Source organism: Homo sapiens, chromosome Y, assembly GCF_000001405.40.
Source record: "Homo sapiens chromosome Y, GRCh38.p14 Primary Assembly".
Classification (NCBI taxonomy): Eukaryota; Metazoa; Chordata; class Mammalia; order Primates; family Hominidae; genus Homo; species Homo sapiens.
This window is the reverse complement of record NC_000024.10, coordinates 9,758,816-9,781,165: the sequence shown is the minus strand read 5'-3', so window position 1 is coordinate 9,781,165 and position 22,350 is coordinate 9,758,816. Positions and strand designations below refer to the sequence as shown.

At 46.3% G+C, this 22,350-nt stretch overlaps 1 long non-coding RNA gene across 1 annotated transcript in view; it reads left to right on the top strand.

Annotated features, from left to right (window-relative positions):
* The first annotated feature begins 6,846 nt into the window (after positions 1–6,846).
* TTTY1 (testis expressed transcript, Y-linked 1) overlaps positions 6,847–22,350 on the top strand; it is a 21,164-nt gene continuing 5,660 nt past the window's right edge. Inside the window, exons 1-4 of the long non-coding RNA NR_001538.2 lie at positions 6,847–7,121; positions 10,546–10,705; positions 17,569–17,677; positions 20,034–20,171. This is a non-coding gene — a long non-coding RNA (testis expressed transcript, Y-linked 1). The remainder of the gene's footprint in view (positions 7,122–10,545; positions 10,706–17,568; positions 17,678–20,033; positions 20,172–22,350) is intronic.

Here is a 22,350-nt window from a genome sequence, read left to right as displayed (position 1 = left end):
CTGAGAGAACAAGCTTCCTTGTGCTGGAATCCAAGCAATGTTCAATGATTCCTGTCAGGAGACCCAAAACACCCTACAAAGTGCAAACAACCTCAGCCCCCACAATGAGACAACGACCCACAATGTGGAGTGCAGGCAGCCTATTGAAAGTCATTTTGCTGTCTGAAATCACTGGCAGATTCATAATCTGTGGTGAAAGGCAGTTCCATCCAGCAACAGTTCAATGAAAGTGCCCGTCCAAAATAAGAAAGTTGTGCAGATGATGAAACAGACTCTAGATTACCAGGAAAAACTTGACACACAAGCCTGCTTCTCATCCTACAGGAGTCATGGGCCCCTCCAATAGATGTGAGAGAACAAGTTTTCTTTTGGCAGCTGTAACATCAATATATATTTTTAAAAGTATCAAATCTTCCCAGTCCTTAGTACATGACGCTGTTTAGAAGGAAACATTCACACAATGGATTCCCATGAGAGTCATTCTCCATGAACTGGGAAACGTTTAGTGTGGTAGTCACTAGGCCAGACCCAGGAAACCCTAAAACAATGAGAATCATGGAAGTCATGAAACAAAGAGGCATGTCTGGAAGCCCCATCCAACCAGCATCAATCCATTCCACCCACATTTGACTTTGGGTATTAAAGCCCACAAATCGGCAGTTTGCCAGGATGGTCCCAATTTGCACTCCAAATGTTCCTTGCACATTGGAATACTCATACCTGAACACTGAGCCATTGTCTGGACTGCTTTTGCAATTAAGGTAAAGCAGGCATGGAGTTGGAAGAAACTTCTTTGTCATCTGTCTTTATTCTTTTTTTGCAGGTAAAGTTGTGGGACCCCATCCACTTTTCACCACATTGTATTCTCACCCCATCTGACTTTATTGCTGCTCACACTCTATATCCCAGGATAAAATCCCAAGACAATGGAGGTGTGCCTCCTTAGGACTTGAAGCACCTGCTCAATTCAGAACAGAATTTGAGGTAAAATTAAGGGGCCCTGCCGACAGAACTGCTAGTGTCTTTTCCTGTGTTGGCCATAGGAATATGAAACACAGGGAGATGTCTATCTTTTGGTGTGGTGTGCTTTTCTTTTTTTCTAGAACAGTGGCTTTTCTTGCAGAGGGAGTTGTTTTGGACACCAGCAGTTCCCTGCCCACATACCAATTCACTGTGGATTTTGGATCCACATAATAATAAAGAACACGGTGCCCCACTGCCCAAGCAGAAACACACAGACAGGTGACCATAAGGTGGGGAGACTTAAAAAAAAGCGCTGAAGTGCATTAGCCACATTTCTTTAAGATAACTCCACTTACATTCATACACACATAGACAGCCAGAAACACACCATGCCTCACATGCACACATATCCGATATTCCCAACACTTTCACAGAAACACACAACCCAGCAGTGCCTGACACTATGTCGTTCTTCAGGAAGCCTTACCTGGGAGACAGCAACCTTGAAAAACCCTGGTGGGCTGTACCAAGAAGTCACAGCAGAACAAGTTTCAAAAAGACTCACCCCTACAATGTCTAGGCCAGCCTGAGGAATCCTGCAGGTCATCTTGGAAACTTAGGGATTTTGCAATTTATTCCTGGGGCTCTGTTTGATGTTTCTTGAGGTTGGCTCAAGTCTGCCCTCTCCTAGGATCATGGAACAATCCCACAGAGGAGACAGTTGAGTCAACTGCTGATGCACCTCCTCAGAGGTCTCCTTCTCAACCAAGCTGCAGGGACTTTTCTCTAGGCAATGATAACATTCATTGTGATGGTAGCCAACTCTCACAATCAGGCCTGGTCCCCTCAAACTAGTGCATGCATATCTGTAGGCAACATCTTGTTCCAGGCTGTCAGAGCTGTCAGCCTGCCTAAGCAGAGGGAAATTGTACAGACAGAGCCATCCTGGTATTATGAAAAAGCTGCCTATGAACACCCACTGTGGGACCCTTTGATCCCAATATACTCCCTTTGATCCCAATAGCCCTCAATATCAGCACATGATTAACATGGCTTTAGTTACTTAAAGTATAGAAGACATTAGAAGACAATGGCAGAAACAGACTGGGTTTGCAGGCATGAATAATTCACAGTATTGGAGATAGCCCACCAGAAGTTTGTAAATAGAGATGCAGTAAGCTGCAGAGGGAACCTCAGAGAGAGTGAATGCCGAGCCTGGTGAAACGTTGACCTTCTAGCTGCGGCTATTAGAGGGGCCCCCCCAAAGTGGTGAGAGAAGGGGGGCCCTAGGAAAAATACCCAGTCTGGTCATCCATGCTTGCTGTGTAACCAGTGTCCTTGCTGTAAGGAAATAGGGCATTGGAAGGACAAGTGCCCCAGATTGAAAGGGAAATAAGGTGACTCTGAGCAGGAGTCCTCAGACAAAGATGAAGGGGACTTATTCAATCTAGCAGAAGTGTTATTGGACTGTGGGGGTCCGGGCTGATGTGCAGTAGTAACCATCCTGGTCGCCCTCTTTTCCACAAAGACTAGTAATATAATCAGATACACAGGGGTCCTGACAAAGTAAGCTTTCTGTTTGCCCTAGACCTGCACTTTAGGGGATGGGGGGGTCATTAAGTGATTCACCACTTCCTGTACATGCTTGACTGCCCCTTGCCTTTGGTAGGAAGGACTTACTTAGCAAGCTGAGAGCCACCATCTCTTTTACAAAACACAGCTCTTTACAGTTAAAGTTACTTGGAAGGAGAGTCATCATGGCCCTTATTGTTCCTAGCGAGAAGGAATGGAGATGCCTCTTAATTCAGTTAAGCTAAGATGTAAGACCAGCTCTGGCTAAGTGATGGCCAAAAGTGTGGGCAGAAAAGAACCCTCCAGGATTGGCAATTAACTAGGCCCTCTTACTCATAGGAGATAAGCCTATGGCCCAGCCAGCCAGGAAAAAACAGTCCCTAGTCCCCAGAGAAGCTCTTGAAGGTACCCAGGTCCATCTCAAGCACCTGAGGGCCCTTGGAATTATAGTCCCTTGTTAGTATCCATGGAACACTCCCTGCCTGTCTGTTCCAAAGCCAGGGATCAAGGACTACAGGCCAGTACTGGAGTTGTATTCAGTCATCCAAGCTACAGTGACTTTGCCCCAGTTGTACCTAACTCCTACAAATTGTTGGGGTTGCTGCCAGCTGAGGACAGCTGAAGGATGCCTTCATTAGCATCAGCCTAGCCCTTGAGAACCAGAAACTCTTTGCCTTTGAGTGGGAAGATGCGGGGCCAGGTGTCACCACTCAGTACACTTGGACCTTGCTTCCCCAAGGGTTCAATAACTCCCCCACTATCTTTGGGAAGGTACTGGCTCGGGACTTCCAGAAGTTTCCCACAGAGACCTAGACTGTTTTTTGCTCCAGTCTGTTGATGACCTCCTGCAGGGACACCCAACAGTAATCGGGTGCCCCAAGGGAATGGATACCCTGCTCTGGCACCTGGGGGACTGCGGGTATGAGGTGTCCAAAGAAAGCTCAGATCTGCTGACAGCATTTATGTTATCTGGGATTTACTATCCTACAATGGAGCACAGCCTAGGATCAGAAAGAAAGCAGGTCATTTGCAACCTACTGGAGACTAAAACCAGAAGGCAGATGAGAGAATTCTTAGGAGCTGTATTTTCAGTACTGTAGGAAGTCACAAAGGGAGGTAACAGAGAGAATTTTGAATGGGAGTCCCAACAGTAATGAGCTTTTCATGAATTAAAAGAGAAACTTACATCAGCCCCAGCTCTGGGGCTGCCTGACCTCACAAAGCCATTTACACTATATGTGTCAGAGAGAGAAAAATGGTAGCTGGAGTTTTTACCCACACAGTGTGGCCCTGGCCAAGATTGGTAGCCTACTTCTCCAAACAGCTAGATGGAGTTTCTAAAGGTTGGCCCCCATGTTTGAAGGCCTTGGCAGCAACTGCCCTGCTAGCACAAGAAGTGGATAAACTAACTCTTGGGCAAAACCTGAACATAAAGTCTCCCCATGCTGTGGTGTTATTAATGAATACCAAAGGACATCATTGGCTAATGAATGCAAGGGTAAGTAGCTACCAAAGCTTGCTCTGTGAAAATCCCCACATAATCATTGAAGTCTGCAACACCTTGAACTCCACCACCTTACATACACCTTACTGGTGTCAGAGAGCCCAGGTGAACATAACTGTGTAGAGGTGTTGGACACAGTTTATTTTAGCAGACTCCCCATTGAGACCATTCTTGGGCATCAGTAGATTTGGAGCTGTACATGGATGGGAGTAGCTTGTCAATCTACAAGAAAAGCAGTCATACACTGCAGAGGAAACAAGCAAACTTCCACTCGATTGCCTTGGAGAACTCCCGAGCTGACTCAGAGTCTCGGAAAGCAGCATCCACCCACTATGGGGCATCAGTCACAATCCTGTTGCTCCATCAGGTACCTGACCTTGTACCTATTTATTCTAAAGAAAAGAAAGACTTTCTCCAAGCAGAGGGAGGGCATGTGATAGAAGAGGGAAAGATTCTGTTATTTGATGGAAGAATAGCCATGTCACAACTACTAGTAGCCACAGTGGTACTGGCTGTGCATGAGACCACCCACCTAGACCAAAACTCAGTGTGTCACCTTTCCACAGAAAAATGCTAGGCAAGGTCTAACCGTCTTGCCCAACATACAAGCTTATGGATTAGCCCGCTTTGAAAACATCCAAGTAGACTTCACCAAGATATCCAAATGTAGAGGTAACAAGTATTTGCTAGTTCTAGTGTGTACATACTCTGGGTGGGTGGTGGCCTATCCAACAAAAACTTAGAAAGCTCGTGAAGTACACTATGTGCTTCTCCAAGATGTCATCCCTAGGTTTAGACTGCCCTTATGAATGAGCTCAGACAACATGCCATCATTTGTTGCTGACTTGGTACAAAAGGCAGCAAAGGTATTGGAAATGACATGGAAACTACATACTGCTTATTGACCGTAGAGTTGCGGAAAGGTGAAGCAGATGAACTGGACTATCAAAAATAGTTTAGAAAAAGTGTGTCAAGAAAGAGGATTAAAGCCGGCACAAGCTCTCCCTAAGGTATTGTTTAAGATTAAATGTATTCCTTCTAAAAGAACAGGATATTCACCTTATGAAATATTATATCATAGGCCCCCTCCCATACTACGGGGACTCCTAGGCACTCATTGAGAGCTAGGTAAAATTGAGTTACAGCAACAATTACAGGCTCTAGGGAAAATTACAGAAACAATTTCAGCCAGGGTAAATGACTTTCTTCCCAGATGATCGGGTGTGGATCCCGGATCGGAAAGTAGCCCCCTTGTGGCCACAGGTGGAAAGGACACCAGGCCTTCGTCTTGACCACTCCCACAGCCACAAATGTAGAGAAAATTCTAGCGTGGATCCATCATAGCCACCTAAAACTGCAGCACCTGAGACCTGGGAGGAGAGACCAAGCCCAGATAACACCTCCAAGGTGACTTTGAAGAAGATGACAAGCCCTACTCCAGTCATACCCAGGAGCTGACTGGTCCACGCATGGCCAAAACATGAGGAAACTCATTGTAGGACTCACTTTTCTTAAATTTTGGATGTGTACAGTAAGGACTTCAACTGACCTTCCTCAGACTGAGGACTGTTCAAGTTACTGAGGTAGGGAAAAAAGTTAAAGCAGTCTTTTTGTTTTATAGTTATTATGAATGTATTGCAACTTTAAAAGGGATGACTTTGTATAACGCCACCCTGCACAAGGTATGCAGCCCAGGAAGTAACCAGCCTGATGTGGGAAAACCCATTATAACTACTTGATCCCTGTCGGAAAACAGGAGAGTATGTAATTCTAAGAATCAATGGAAATGGACTGGATCCCCAAGTAAATATTTTAGTCTAAGGGAAGGTCCACAGGCACTCTCCCAAGCCAGTGTTTACTCCCTGTATGGTACCTGTACTTTTACCACCTTAGTTCATCAAAAGACCACAGCACAAGTGCATTACATAAATCACTATCAATCTGTTTTGCAGAAAGACCTGGGTAATGAAGATGAGAAAGAGAACTCTCACTAGTGAGTGCAGCTCTCAAAGAGGGGGATGAGGAGGAAGGCTATTTCTCTTACTGTCCCCTGTTCTCTGAATAGAAGGAGGAAGTAAAAGCTGAAAAACATCAGGAATGAAATCATTGACAAGACCAGCTGGTGCCACTAATGAACAGGCCTGAGGTTAAAAGTTTAACCCACCACTCTAACCACACGTGCTATCTCTAGATCTCAATCTATTACAACCCTTTCACGTGTAACCCCTTAAAGTTGTAAGCACTTAAAAGGGACAGGAACTGTTTCTTCCAGGAGCTCAGTTCCTGAGACAGGAGTCTGCCAACACTCCCAGCTGAATAAAGCCACTTTCTTCTTTAATCCAGTGTCTGAGGGGTTTTGTTCATGGCTTGTCCTGCTACAAAGGAATGCAGCAATGGGGTTGACTGGTTCTGCAAGAAGCCCCCACCTGGGAGACAGCAACCCCAGGGAAAACAGCCTGGCTCTACCTAGAAATCACAGTGGGGTAAGTTTCAAAAAGGCTCACCCCTACAATGTCTAGGTTGAATGAGGAATCCTGAAGATCATTTTTTATTATTAGGGATTTCATGGTTTATTGCTGGAACTTTACTTGAGGTTTCTTCAGGCTGGCTCACATCTGCCCTCTCCTAGGATCATGGAACAATACCATGGATCCCACAGTGAAGACAGGTGAGAGTCCACCTTTGACACAACTCCACGGAGGTCTTCTTCTCCACCAAGCCACAGGAACTTGTTGCTAGGCAATGGTTACACTCATTGTGATGCTAGCCAGAGCTCACAATCAGGCCTGGTGCCCTGAGAGTAGTGCATGCCCATTCCTGTGGCAGCCTATGTTTCCTGTCTGTCAGAGCTGTCAGCCTGCTTAAGCAGAGTAAAATGGTACAGGCAGTGCAGCCTGGTAGCGAGAAAAAAGGCTGCCTGTGAAATCCCACTGTGGGACCATAAGTGGGGACCTCAGGGCCCCTTCATGGCATCTCCATGGCCATGTCATGCTGGAGAAGGAGGCGTTTCAAGAATGTGAGCTGATCGCTGGAAACTGCTCATCTGACTCCAGTCTCAAAAGAGGCTATGTGCAAGAATCGGGTATGATGGGGATGCAAATATAGTTTGCTGTGTTGTTGAGGGTTATTTGGATGATAGAATCATACCTGAGACCCCAGAAGCTGGGGTCAGTGAAAGATAGTTGGGCCCTTGACCTCACTTCCTCCCTTCATTTTGGGCCTCACAGGGGCTCTCTGGGAAAGTCTGGACCTAAGACAAAGGCAAGTCCAAGGTGGAGCACTGTTCTCACACCTTGGACTGACCACTCATGGGTGCAGATGAGGTTGAGACAGTGTGTCAAAGGCCATTTATGGCATGGCAAGGATAAAAAGTTGTGTCAGTACTGCTGTTTAGGGGTACTGTAGATTCCCCATGAAAGCAAAGAAAAATAAAACCTCATCTCTCTAGAATGAGCTGCCTTGTGCTGGAGTCCAAGCAATGTTCAATGATTCCTGTCAGAGGATCCAAATGCCTCCTGTAAAGTGGAAGGAACTTCAGCCCCCCAAATGAGACAATGACCCAGAACCTGGAGTGCAGCCAGCCTACCTGAAGTCCCTTTTCCTCTCTGAAATCCTGGTAACTAAATTATCTGTGTAGAGAGGCAGTCCTACTGAAAAACAGCTGAATGAAAGAGCCCCTCCACAATAAGGAAACCAGGCAGATGAAATGAAACAGAAGATAGACTACCAGACAAAAGCCAGACATGAATGCCTGCTTCTCACCCTGCAGAAGTCATGCAGCCCTTTGATAGGAGTGGGAGAGGAAGAGTTTGCTTTTTGGTGGCTGTAACAGGAATTTACTGTTTTAAAAGTATCAAAGCAGCTCAGTCATTAAAACGTGATGGTGTTTAGAAGGAAACACTCACACAGTGGATCACCGTGAGGGTTGTTCTTTGTGAACTGGGAAATGTTCTGTGTTGGAAGTCATTGAACCAGACCCAGGAAACTGTAGGCCAGTGAGGAACATGGAAGTCAGGAAAAGATGAGGCAAGTGTGGAGGCCACATTCCACCTAGCATGAATTTATTCCACTTCCATTTTGTTCCGGGTATGAAAGCCCTCAAATCGGAAGTTTGCCAGGATGGCCCCAGCTTGTACGCTCACCTGAACACTGAGCCATGGTGTGGACTGCTTCTTCAACTAAGGGAATGTGGGGATGGTGTTGGAAGTACCTTCTGAGTCACCTGTCTTCAGGTGACAACCTTCACCTGATTGAATTCTCACCCCTATCCGATGTTATGGCTGCTTATACTCTGTGTCCCAAAATAAAATCCCAAAATGATGGAGGAGTGCCCCCTCAGGACGTGAAGCACTTGCTAAGCTGGGGACTGAATTTCAGGTAAATTGAAGGGGCCCTGAAAACAAGACTGCTACTGTCTCTGTCTGGGTTGGCCACATAACAATGAAACACTAAAGATATCTATGTTTTTGTGTGGTGTGCTCCTCTTGTTTCTAGAAGAATGGCTTTGTGCTTTGTAGGGGGAGATTATTTGGACATGGGTGGGTTATGGCCTGCCTCTCAATTCACTGAGACTTATGATGTGGCTCAAGCAGAGCCAAAAGGGTTGGAGACTCAAAAAACTAGCCCTGAATTGTGTTAGCCACATTCATTTAAGCACTCTCCACTTACAGACACACACACACAAACACACACACACACAAAATGCCACACACATGCAGGCCTCCAACACTCACAACACTCCAACAGAAACACACAGGCTGGCAGCTCCTGAGGCTTCGTGGTTGTGCAAGAAACTTACCCTGGCAGAGAGCAACCCCAGGGCATACTGGCAGGCTTTACCTGGGAAGCACGGTGGGGCAAGTTTCAGAAAGACTAACCAATACAGCATCTAGCCAGTCCTAAAAAATCCTGCAGTTCCTTTTGGATCCTTAGCAATTTTGTGGTTTATTCCTGGGGCTATGCCTGATGTTTCTTTAGGCTGGTTCATGTCTGCCCTCTCCTAGGATCGTGGGACTATCCCGAGGCTTCCACAGGGAATAAAAGTGAGAGTCCACTGCTGATGCACCTCCACAAAGGTATCCTCCTCAGCCAAGTCACAGGGACTTGTCGCTGGGCAAATGTGACATTCATTGTGACTCTAACCAGAGCTCAGATCTAAGCCCTAGTGTCCTGAGACTAGCATTAAAATTCTCTACCTTAGAACCCCTTTGGGATGTCTGCATCTTTGGGTACCACTGGAGGAGGACGCGTTTCAAGACTGTGAGGTGGTTGCTTAGGAGAGCTCTTCTGACTCCATTCCTGAAAGAGCCTTTGTGCAAGAATCAGGACCCATCTAAATTGGAATATAGTCTGGTGAGTTGTTAAAGGATTTTTGTGTAATGGAATTATACCTGAGACACCAAAAATGAGTGTCAGTAAAATATAGCCAGTCCCTTGATCTCATTGCTTCCCTTCATCATGGTCCTCACAGGGGCTCTCTGCAAAAGGCAGGAAACATGAAAAAGGTAGGTCCAATATCAAGAAGTTCTTACACCGAACTGGAGTGTCATGGGTGCAGTTGATACTGTGAAATTGTCTCAGAGGCCGTTTTTGGCAATTGCAAGCCTGAAAATGGTGGCCAGTATTTCTGCTGAGGGGCAATGTGGGCCCAGCATGAAAGCAAAGAAAAATCAAGGCTCACCTGTGAGAATGAGTGGACTTGTCCTGGATTTCCAGAAATGTTCAAAGATTTCTGCCAGAGGAACCAAAAGCCTCCCACAAAGTGCAAACAACCTCAGATTTTACAACAAGCCCATGACACAAAACCTGGAACACCACCAGCCGACCAAAGTCTTTTTGCTCCCTGAAATTCTGCTTGCCAAAAGAACCATTGTGAGTGGCAGTCCCATACAGCAAAAGCTCAATGAAAGAGTCTGTTTACAATGAGAAAGGAAGTGCAGATGAAGTGAAACACAGCCTTGGTTACTAGGTGAATCCAAACACGGCTCCCTGCTTCTCATCCTACGGGAGTCAAGCAGCCTTCCAATAAAAGTGGGAGAACGAAAGTTTCCTTGTTGGCAGCTGTAATGGGAATTGATGCTTTAAAAATAAATACAGCTGCCCATTCATTAAAATGTGACAGTGATTAGAAGGAAACACTCATGCAATGGATTCCAATTAGTTCGACCTCCATGAAGTGGGAAAGGTTTAGTGTTGAAGATTTTGAGCCACATGCAGCATGCCATAGGCCATAGAGGAACATGGAAGACATGAAAAAAACAGGCAAGTGTGGAGGCCATATTTCACCCAGAACTAGTCCATCCCACTCCCATTTGGCTTTGCCTATGAAAGCGCTCAAATCTGGAGTTTGCCAGGATGTCCCCAGTTTGCACTCCAAATGTTCTCTGCATGTTGGAGTACTCCCACCTCAACAATGGGCCATGGTGTGGACTACTTGTGCAAATAGTGGAATGTAGGGATTCAGTTGGAAGCATCTTCTGTGTCATTTGTCTTCACCTTATTTGCAGGTGAAGTTGTGAGACCCCATCCACCCCTCACAAGATTGTATCCCCACCCTGTCTGACCTTACTGCTGCTCAAACTATCTGTCCAAGGATGAAAACCCAGGACAAAGGAGGAGTAACCCTCATGATGTGAAGCACGTGTTCACCTGTGAATATAACCTGAGGTAAATTCAAGGGTTGTTGTAGACAGGATTGCTATTGTCTCTCCCTGGGTTGGCCACATGACAATGAAAACCTGGGAGATGTCTGCTCTTGGGTGTGGTTTGACTCTCTTCTACCTAGAAGAGTTGCTTTTTTTGCAGGGCATGGTGACTTGGACAGCAGCATGTCTCGGCCAGCCTCCCAACTCACTGCAGATTCATGATTCACAAAAAAATAAAGAACATGGAGTTCTATGTCCCAAACAGAGGCGTACAGGAAGACAACAAAAGGTTGGAGACTCAACAAAATGAAGTGCTGCAGTGTGTTAGCCACATTCCTTTAAGCAGACTCCATTTACAGGCACACACACACACACACACACAAATGTACAAAGTCAAACACACAGGCAGACATCCAACACTTGCAGCACTCCCACAGAAACACACAGCCTATCAGCTCCTGAGGCAGTTTGGTTCTGCAGGAAGCCACACCTAGGAGGGAGCAACACCAAGGAACACAGGAGGGCTGTACCTATACATCACAGTGGGGCAAGTGTCAAAAGCACTCACCCCTCACTCACTCACAGGGGTGAGGATACAGTGCCTAGGCAGGCCTGAAGCATCTTGCAGACCCTTTTGGATCCTTCTGGAATTCATGGTTTATTCCTGGTGCTCTTATTGACATTATTTCAGGCTGGCTCATATTTGCCCTCTCCTAAAATCAGGAGACTATACAGTAATTCCCACAGAGAAAACAGGTGAGAGTCCACCACCGACAGCACCTGTAAAAAGGTCTTCTTCTCCGCCAACCTGCAGGAACTTGTCTCTAGGAAATGGTGGCATTCACTGTGACGCTAATCAAAACTCACAGCTCAGTCTTTGTGCCTTGAGACCAGTGCCTTCGCATTCAAGAGGCATGTTCTGGGGCCTGGCTGTCAGAGCTGTTAGCCTGACCAAAAAGAGGAACAAAGAAAAGGCACTGTGATAAACCACTGCTGGACCCAAAAAGTCTAGGCCATAGGGCCCTTTTGGGCAGTCTCTGAGGTCGAGTTCCACTGAAGGAGAACTCATTTTGAGACTGTGAAGTGGTCGCTGCAATCAGATACTCTGCCTCCATTCTGGAAAGAGGCTGTGTGCAAGAGGCAGTTCCTATGGGGATTGTAATACAGTCTGGTGAGTTACCGGGCCTCACAGGGGCTCTCGGGAAAAGGTAAGAACCACGACAAAAGAAAGTCCAAGATAAAGCATTGTTCTCACACCTTAAACTGGCTGTTCTCACACCTTAAAATGGGTGCAGGTGAGGTGGAAACAGTTTCTCAGTGGCTGTCTGTGGTGAAAGCAAGCCAGAAAAGGGTGTCCAGTAGTGCTGATGAGGGGCAATGTGGAACCCTCATGAAAGCAAAGAAAAATGAAGGCTCATCTGAGCAAATAAGCTGACTTGTGCAGGAGTCCAAATAATGTTCAAAGATTTTTGTCAGAGGACCCAAAAGCCTCCTACAAAGAGCAAACAACATCAGCCTCCACAAGGAGAAAAAGACCCAAAATCTGGAGTATAGCCAGCATACACAAAGTCCTATAGGCTTCCTGAAGTTCCTGGCAGCCAAAAGATCTGTAGGGAGGAGGCAGTCCCATCCAGCAAAAGCCAATGAAATATCCACTCCACAGAGAGAAAGGACTTGCAGATGAAGTGAAACAGAGCTAAGATTACCAGGCAAATGCAGACATGGCTGCCTGCTTCTCATCCTAAAGGAATCATGCAGTCTTCCAATAAAAGTGGGAAAACAAGAGTTTCTATGTTGGTGGATGTAATGGGAATTTATGCTTTTAAAAGTATCACAGCTGCCCAGTCATTAAAATGTGGCAGAGTTTAGAAAGAATCCCTCATGTAATGAATTCCCAAGAGAGTCATCCTCTGTGAACTGGGAAACTTTTAGTGTGGAATACGTGTAGCCATACCCAGGAAAACTTAGGCCAAAGAAGATCATGAAAGTCAGGAAAAGAAGAGGCAAGTGTGGCAGCCACATTCCATCCAGCATCAATCCATCACCCTCTCCTTTGCCTTTGGGTATGAAAGCCCTCACATTGGGAGTTTGCCAGGATGGCCCCAGTGTGTACTCAAAATTTTCCCCATACATTGGAGTACTTCCACCTGAACACCAGGCTGTTTAGCTGGAAACAATCTCTGTGTCGTCTGTCATCCTTTTTCTTTTTTTTTTTTTTTTACAGGTGCAGTTGGGGTATCCCATGCACCTCCCCAGATTTCATCTTTACTCCTATCTGACATCATTGCTGTTGACACTCTATGCACCAGGATGAAATCCAAAGATGATATTTGAGAGCCCCCCGACCTAAGACATGAATTATTGGCTTGGCTGGGAATCGAATTCAAGGTGAATTCAATGTGCCCTGTGCACAGGACTGCTAGCATCTCTCCCTGGGTTGGCTGCAAGACAATGAAACACTGAGATGTCTCATTTTTGGTGTGGTGTGCTCCTTTTCTTTCTAGAAGAGTGGCTTTTCTCACACACACAATGCCACACACACACTCAGACATCCAACATTCACAACACTCCCACAGAAACATACAAACCAGTTACTACTCAGACTGTGCTGTTGTGCAGGTAGCACCAACTGGGTCTGCAGGTAGCCCAAGCAGACCCACACAGAAAAGCCACCAAAAGGTTGGGAGATGTACATACAGCAAACACTGAAGTGCATTAGCAATATTCCTTAGGCAGACTGCACTTACAGTCTCTCACACACACACACATACAAACACACAATGCCACCCACATGCATGTAGACATCCAACACTCACAGCACTCCACCAGAAAGGTTGGCAGACTAAAGAAGAAGTGCTGAAGTGTGTTAGGCACATTATTTTAAGCACACTCCACTTACAGACACATAAACACGCACATACACAAACACACAATGCTACACACACACACACAGCCATCCATCACATGCAAGACTCTCATAGAAAAGCAAAGACTGGCAGCCCCTGAGGCAGTGTTGTTCGGAAAGAATCCCAACCTGGGAGACAGCAACCCCAAGAAACACAAGGGAACTGTACCTAGAAATCACGGTGGTGCAAGTTTGAAAGAGACTCAACCCTACAAACTTCTGGGTAGTCCTGAGAAATCCTGTATATCCTTTTGCATCCTAAGGGATTCTGCAGTTTATTCCTGGAGGTGTACTTGACTTTTCTTCAGGCTGGCTCATGCCTGCCCTTTTCTAGGATCATGGGACAATCCCATGAACACCACAGAGAAGTCAGGTGAGAGTCCACGGCCGATGCATCTCCAAGGAGGTCTCCTCTGCCAAGCCACAGGGCATTGTCACAAGGCAGCAGTGACATTCATTGTGATGCTAGCCAGCACTCACACTCAGGCCTGGTGCTCTGAGACTAGCACATGTGCATTTCTGAGGCAGGCTCAGGCACTCATCAGAGCTGTCAGCCTGCCTAAGCAGAGGAAAATGGTACAGGCAGAGCCTGCCTGGTATAGGGAAAAATGCTGCCTGCAATAACCCACCACTGGACATAAAAATATAGATGACAGGGCCCTTTCAGGCAGTCTCCAAGGTTGGGTTCTGCAGAAGGAGAAGTCACTTTGAGACTGTGAAAGGGTCGCTGCAATCTGCACCTCTGCCTCCATTCCCAAAAGAAGATGTGTGCAAGAGTTAATTCCCATGGGGATTGAAATACCATCTGGTGAGTTTTTGAGGCATCTCTGGGTGATGGAATCATCATTGAGACCCAAGAGGTGGGTGTCAGTGAAAGATGGTTAGGCCCTTGACCTCACTGCCTCCCTTCATCCTGGGCCTCACAGGAGCTCTCTGGGAAATACAGGAACCACAACAAAAGCAAGTCCCAGATAAAGCATTGTTCTCATATCTCAAACTGGCCTTTCACAGATGCAGATGTGGTTGACAGAGTATGTCTGAGGTGGTCCATGGCAATTGCAAGACAGAAAATGGTGTCCAGTACTGCTAATGAGGGGCAATGTGGACTCCCCTTGAAAGCAAAGAAAAATGAAGGCTTATCTGAGCAAACAAGCTGACTTGTGTGGGAGTACAAGCAAAGTTCAAAGATTCCCATCAGAGGACCCAAAAGCCTCCTGCAAAGCGCAAACAACATCAGCCCCCACAAGGACACCATGATCCACATCCTGGCATGTAGCCACCATATGCAAAGTCCTTTTGGCTTCCTGAAATTCCTGGCAGTGAAAAGATCTATAGCAAGAGGCAGTCCCATCCAGCAAGAGCCAATGAAAGATCCACTCCACAGCAGGGAATGACATGCAGATGAAGTGAAACAGAGCCAAGATTAGCAGGAAAATGCAGAACACAGCTGCCTGCTTCTCCTCCTACAGGAATCATGCAGCTCTTTGATAAAAGGAGAATAAAAATTTCTGTATTGGCAGTTGTAACGGGAATTTATGCTTTTAAAAGTCTCATATTGCCCAGTCATCAAAATGTGACAGAGTCTAGGAAGAAACACTGATGCAATGGATTCACATGAGAGTGGTCCTCTGTGAACTGGGAAACTTCTAGTGTAGAAGATGTGGAACCAGACCCAGAAAACCCTAGGCCAAAAAGGAACATGAAGACACAAGTGTGGTGGCCACATCCCACCCAGCATCAATCCATCACACTTTCATGTGGCTCTGGGTATGAAAGCCCTCACATTGAGAGTTTGCCAGGATGGCCCCAATTTGTTCTCAAAATGTTCTCTGCATGTCCACCTGAACACCAGGCTATTTACTTGGAAGCAGCTTCTGTGTCATCCATCTTTATTTTATTTTTTTCAGGTGATATTGCAAAACCTTATACACCCTTCACCAGATTTTGTCCTTACTGCTATTTGACTTTATTCCTGCTCATACTGTATGTTCCAGGATGAAATCAAAAGATGATGGAGAAGTGCCCCCCGCCACAAGATGTGAATCACTTGCTCAGCTGGGAACTGAATTCAAGATTAATTCAAAGTGCCCAGTGGACAGGACTGCCAGTGTCTATGCCTGGGTTGGCCTCATGACAATGACACACTAGGAGATACCTCTTTTTGGCATGGTGTGCTCCTCTTCTTTTTAGAAGAGTGGCTTTTTTTGAACACACAATGCCACACACACGCTCAGACATCCTACACTCAAAATACTCCCACAGAAATACACAGCCCAGCAGCTACTGAGGCTGCATTGTTGTGCAGGAAGCACTACCTGGAGAAAGTCCCACATCCCAAGCAGAGAAACACAGGCCACCAAAATGTTGGAAGACTCAAAAACAGAAAGCACTGAAGTGCATAAGTAATATTCCTTTAAGCAGACTCCATTTATAGTCACACACACACACACAATGCCACACAAAGATGCAGACATCCAACACTCGAAATCCTCCACCAGAAAGGTTGGGAGACTAAAAAAAAAAAAAAAAAAAGAGAAAGACAAAGGGCTGAAGTGGGTTAGCCACATAATTTCAAGCACACTCCACTGACAGGTGCACACACACACCCAATGCCACACACAGATGCAGACATCCAACACTCGCAACACTCCCACAGGAAAACACAGCTCAGCAGCTCCAGAGGCTATGTGATTCTGCAGGAATCCCAACCTGGGAGAGAGCAAGCACAAGAAACCCTGGTTGGCTACACCTAGAAATCACAGTTAGGCAAGTTTCAAAAGACTCATGCTTACAACATCTAGGGTGGCCTGAAAAATCCTGCAGAGGTTTTTGCCTGTGTGTAAGCAAGGTGGCATCCTAAGCAGAGAAAAATGGTACAGGCAGAGTAGGCCTGTTTTTAATAAAAAGGCAGTGTGTGAAAACCCACTGTGGGACCCTAAATGTCTCGACCTGAAGGCCCCTTTGGGCTGTCTCCATGGTCAGGTCCCACTGCCGGAGGAAATATTTTGAGATAGTAACCTGTTCGCTGGAAACTGCCCTTCTGACTCCATTTTTGAAACAGGCTGTGAGCCATAATCTGGTCCCATAAGAATTGGAATATAATCTGTTGTGTTGTTGAGGGTTGTTTGGGTGACAGAATCATACCTGAGAACTTAGAGGTGGGTGTCAGTGAAAGAAGGTTGGGCTCTTGACCTCACTGCATCCCTTCATCCTGGGTCTCTCAGAAGCTCTCTGGGGAAGGTAGAAACCACAACAGTGGCAAATCCAATGTAGAGGAGTGTTCTCATACCTTGGACTGGTCTTTCACTGTGCAGTTGAGGTTATTCTTACACCTCAGACTGGCCTTGGACTGTGCAGATAAGGTTGAGACAGTGAAACACTGCGAGATGTCTGTTTCTGGTGTGGTGTGCTCCTCTTCTTTCTAGAAGAGTGGCTTTTTTTGTGGGGGGAGTTGATTTGGACAATTGTGTGTCTTGGCCCACCTCCCAATGCAATGCAGATTCATGATCCACAGAAAAATAAAGAACATGGAGCCCCAAAGCACAAGCAGAGCAACAGGCAGGCCAACAAAGATTGAAACATACAAAAAAAAAAAAAAAAGCAGCAGCACTGAAGTGCGTTAGCCATATTATTTAAGCAGACTCCACTTACAGCCACAAACACATTCTCAAACACGCAATGACACACACACACACATATCCAACAGTTGCAACACTCCCACAGAAGAACATAGCCCAGCAGCACCCGAGGCTGCATAGCTCTGCAGGAATTCCCACCTGGGAGAGAGCAATCCCAGGGAACATAGACAGGCTGTACCTAGAAACCACAGTGGGGCAAGTTTCAAAAAGACTCACCCCTACAATATCTAGGCAGGCCTACAAAATCTTGCAGATCTTTTTGGATGTTTAAGGATTTTGCGGTTTATTTCTGTAGCTAAGCTTGATGTTCCTTCACGCTGGCTAACGTCTGCCCTCTCCTAGGATCATGAGACTATCTGTGGATTTCACAGAGAAGACAGACGAGAAGACACCGCTGACACTTCTCCACGGAGGTCTCCTTTTCCACCAAGATGCAGATGCTTCTTGCAAGGCAATGGTGACATTTATTGTGATGCTAGACAGAGCTCACAATCAGACCAGGTGCGCTGAGACTAGCGCAAGTGCATTTGTGAGGCAGACTCAAGTCAGGTTGTCAGAGCTGTCAGCCTGCCTCTGCAGTGGATAATGGTACAGGCAGAGCTGGCTTGGTATTGGGAAAAAGGCTGACTATAAAAACCCGCTGCAGGACCCTGAAAGTCTTGACCTCAGGGACCCTGCTAGCCATTTCCTTGTTCAGGTCGCGCTGGAGGAAGAGGTGTTTCGCGACTGTGAGGTGGTCGCTGGAAACTGCTCTTCTAACTCCATTAGCGAAAGAGGGTGTGTGCAATAATTGGGTCCCAAGGGGATTGGAATATAATCTGGTGTGTCGTTGAGTGTTCTTTGGGTGACAGAAACATACCTGAGACACCAGAAGTGGATGTCAGCAAAAGATGATTGGGCTTTTGAACTCAATGGCTCCCTTCATTCTGAGCCTTGCAGGGGCTATCTATGAAAGGCAAGAACCATGACAAAGGCAAGTCTAATGTGGAGCAGTGTTCTCACATCTTGGAATGGCCTCTCACTTGTGCAGATGTAGTTGAGACAGTGTCTCAGAGGCCATCTGTGGTGATGGCAAGCTTGAAAATGGTGTGCAGTGCTGCTGTTGGGGGGCACTATGGATTCCCCAAGAAAACAAAGAAAAACCAAGGTTCACCTAAGAATGAGCTGCCTTTGCTGGAGTCCAGGCAATGTTCAAGATTCCTGTCAGAAACCAAAAGCCTCCTGCAAAGTGCAAACAACTGCAGCCTCTACGATGAGACAATGATCCACAATATGGAGTGCAGCCAGTTTATCAAAGTCCCTTTTACTCTCTGAAATCCCTGGCAGCAAAATAATCTGTGGCAAGTGGCAGTCCTAGCCAGCAATAGCCCAGTGAAAGGGCCCCTCCACAATGAGAAGTCCATGCAGATGAGATGAAACAGGGGCTAGATTATCAGGCTAAAGCCAGACGTGGCTGCCTCCTTCTCATCCTAGAGTAAACATGCAACCCTGTGATAGAAGTGGGAAAAAAAACAGATTCCTTGTTGGTGGGTGTAACAAGAATTTACCGTTTTAAAACTATCAAAGCTTCCCAGTCTTTAAAAGGTGACAATGTTTAGAAGGAAACACTCATGCAATGGATTCCCAGGAGGGTTGTTCTCTATGAATTGGGAAACATTTAGTGTGGAAGTCATTGAGCCAGAAAGAGGAAACCCTAGGTTGATGAAAAACATAGAAGTCAGGGGGAAAAAGGCAAGTACGGAGGCCACATCCAACCCAGCATCAATCAATACTCCTCCCATTTGGCTCATGTATGAAGGCTCTTAAATTGGGAGTTTGCAAAAATGGCCCCAATTTGCCCTCCAAATATTCCTTGCAGATTAAAGTACTCCCACCAGAACACCGAGCCATGGTGTGGACTGCTTGTGCAATTAAGGGGATGCAGAGATGAAGTTGGAAGCACTTTCTGTGTTATCTGTCTTTATGTTTTGCTGGTGAAGTTGGGAGACCACTTTCACCCCTCACCAGATTGTATCCTCACCCCATCTGACCTTATTTCTGCTCACAATCTATGTCCCCGAATGAAATCCAAGATGATGGACAAGATCTTCCTCATGACATGAAGCATCTGCTCAGCTGGAGACTGAATTTGATGTAAATTCAAGGGGCCATGCACACAGGTCTGTGAGTGTCACTTTCTGGTTTGGACTCAGGTCAATAAAACACTGGGAGATCTCTTTTTTTTGGTGTGGTATGCTCATCTTCTTTCTAGAAGAGTGGCTTTTGTTGCAGGGGAGGTGATTTGGATGCTTGTGTGTCTCGGCCCACCTCCCAATTCACTGCAGATTCATGATCCACAGACAAATAAAGAACATGAATCCCGGCAACCCAAGCCGAGCCACACAGACAGGCCACTATAAGGATAAGAGACTCAAAAATAAAAGAAATGCTGCAGTGCATTAGCCACATTCCTTTAAGCAGACTCCACTTACAGGCACGCAAACACACACACAAATACACAATGCCACACCTACCCACAAAGACAACCAACACTTGCAACATTCCCACGGAAACTCACTGCCTGGCAGCTACTGAGGCTGTGTGGCTCATCAGAAATCCCCACCTGGGAGAGAGCAACCCCGGGTAACACATGCATGTTGTACCTAGAAATCACATTGGGACAGGTTTCTAAAAGACTCACCCCTACAACCTCTAGGCAGGCCTGAGGAATCCTTCCAAATCCTTTTGGATCCCTAGGCAGTTTGCCATTTATTCCTGGGGCTCTTCTTGACCTTTCCTCAGTCTGGCTCTCATCTGCCCTTTTCTAGGACTATCCTGTGAATCCCACAGAGAAGACAGGTGTGGTTCCAATGCCGGTGCACCTCCAGGGAATTCTCCTTTTCTACCAAGCTCCAGGCCTTCTGCCATGATCATGAGACTATTTGTGGATTTCACAGAGAAGATAGGTGAGAGTGTACCACTGACACACCTCCACAGAGGTCTCCGTCTCCAGCAAGAGGCAGGGACTTGTCACTAGGCAATGGTGACCTTTTTTGTAACTTTTGCCGAAGCTCACAATCAGCCCTGATACCTTGAGACTAGCACATGTGCATTCATGAGGGTGGCTCAGGCGCCTGACTGTTGGAGCTGTCAGCTTGCCTAAGCAGAGGAAAATAGTACAAGCAGAGATGGCCTGGTATCAGGACAAAGTCTGCCTGCGAAAACCAACGGCTGGACTGTAAAATTTGCAAAGTCAGGGCCCCTTCAGTTCATCTCCATGATTGGTTCCCGCTGGAGAAGAAGGCATTTCAAGATGGTGACATGGTCTCTGGAAACTGCTCTTCAGACTCCATTTCTGAAAAAGTCTATGTGCAAGTATCGGGTTTCATGGGGATTGGAGTATAGTCTGGTGAGTTGTTGAGGATTCTTTGGGTGATACAATCATACCTGAGACCCCAAAGGTGGGTGTCAGAGAAAGATGGCCGGTCTCTTGGCCTCACTGCCTCCCTTTATTTTGGACCTCGCAGGAGCTCTCTGGGAAAGGCAGCAACCTCAAAAAGGCAAGTCCAAGAAGGAGCAGTGTTCTCACATCGTGGACTGTCTTCTCACAGGTGCAGATGAGGTTGAGACAGTGTCTCCAAGGCTGTCTGTGGCCATGGCAAACCTGAAAAGTGTCAAGTACTGCTGTTGATGGGCACTATGCATACCTTATGAAAGCAAAGAAAAATCAATGCTCACCTGAAAGAACAATCTGCCTTGTGCTGCAGTCCAAGCAATGTTCAAAGATTCCTGTCAGAGGACCGAAAAGCCTCCTGTAAAGTGCAAACAACCTCAGCCCCCACGTTGACACCATGGCTCACAACCTGGATTTTGGTGAGCCTACCCAAAGTGTCTTTTGCTCCCTGAAATCCCTGGCAGCCAAAAGATCTGTGATGAGAGGTAGTACCATCCAGCAACAGTCCAGTGAAAGATCCCTTCCACAATGAGAAACGACATGCAGATGAAATGGAACAGTGCCTAGAATGCCAGCCAAAAGTGAGATATGACTGCCTGCTTCTCACCCCAGAGATCTTGCAGCCCCTGATAGAAGTGGTAGAACAAGAGTTTCCTTAATGGCAGCTGTAACAGGAAATCATGGTTTTAAAAGTATCACAGCTGCCAAGTAATTAAAATGTGACATTGTTAATATGAAATACGCACACAATGGATTCTCATAAGGGTCATAATCACTGTATGGGGAAATGTTTAGTGTCGAAGACGTTGAGCCAGACCCAGGAAACCCTAGGCTGATGAGGAGCATGGAAGTCAGGAAAAAAAGAGGCAAGTGTAGACGCCACATCCCAGCCAGGATAAATTCATGGTACTCCCATTTGGCTTTAGTATGAAAGCCCTTAAATTGGCAGTTTGCAGGATGGCTTCAGTTTGCACTCCAAATGTTCCCTGCACCTTGTAGTACTCCCACCTGAACACCGGGCCATGGTGTGGACTACTGTGTCATTAAGGGAATGCAGGGATGCAGTGTGAAGCACTTTCTGTCTTCTGTCTTCACCTTTTTTGCATGTTAAGGTGCAGGTCCTCATCCACCCCTCACCACATTGTATCTTCATCTCTCTGTGACCTTATTGCTACTGATATTCTCTGTTCCAGAATGAAATTCCAAGATGATGGAGGGGTTCTCCTTCACGATGTGAAGCACCAGCTTGGCTGGGAACTAAATTCGAGGTACATTTAAAAAGCCCTGCAGACAGGACTGCTGCTGTCTCTCCCTGGGTTGGCTGAAGGACAATAAAACACTGGGAGATGTCTGTTCTTGAGGGTGGTATGGCCTTCTTCTTTCTAGGAAAGTGGTTGTTTTTGGGAGAAGGAGGTGTTTTGTTACCTGGCGGGTCTCATCCTGCCTTAGACTTCATTGCAGATTCATAATCCATAGAAAAAGAAAGAATACAAAGCCCCGCAGCCTGAGACAATCCACTAAAAAGTTGGAAGACTTAAAAAAAAGGGGGCTGCAGTGCTTTAGCAACATTACTTTAAGCAGACTCCCCTTACAGACACCACACACACACACACACACACACATAGACACAGCCATACATACACGCAAACATCCAACACTCACAACACTCTCACAGAAACACAAAGTCTGGC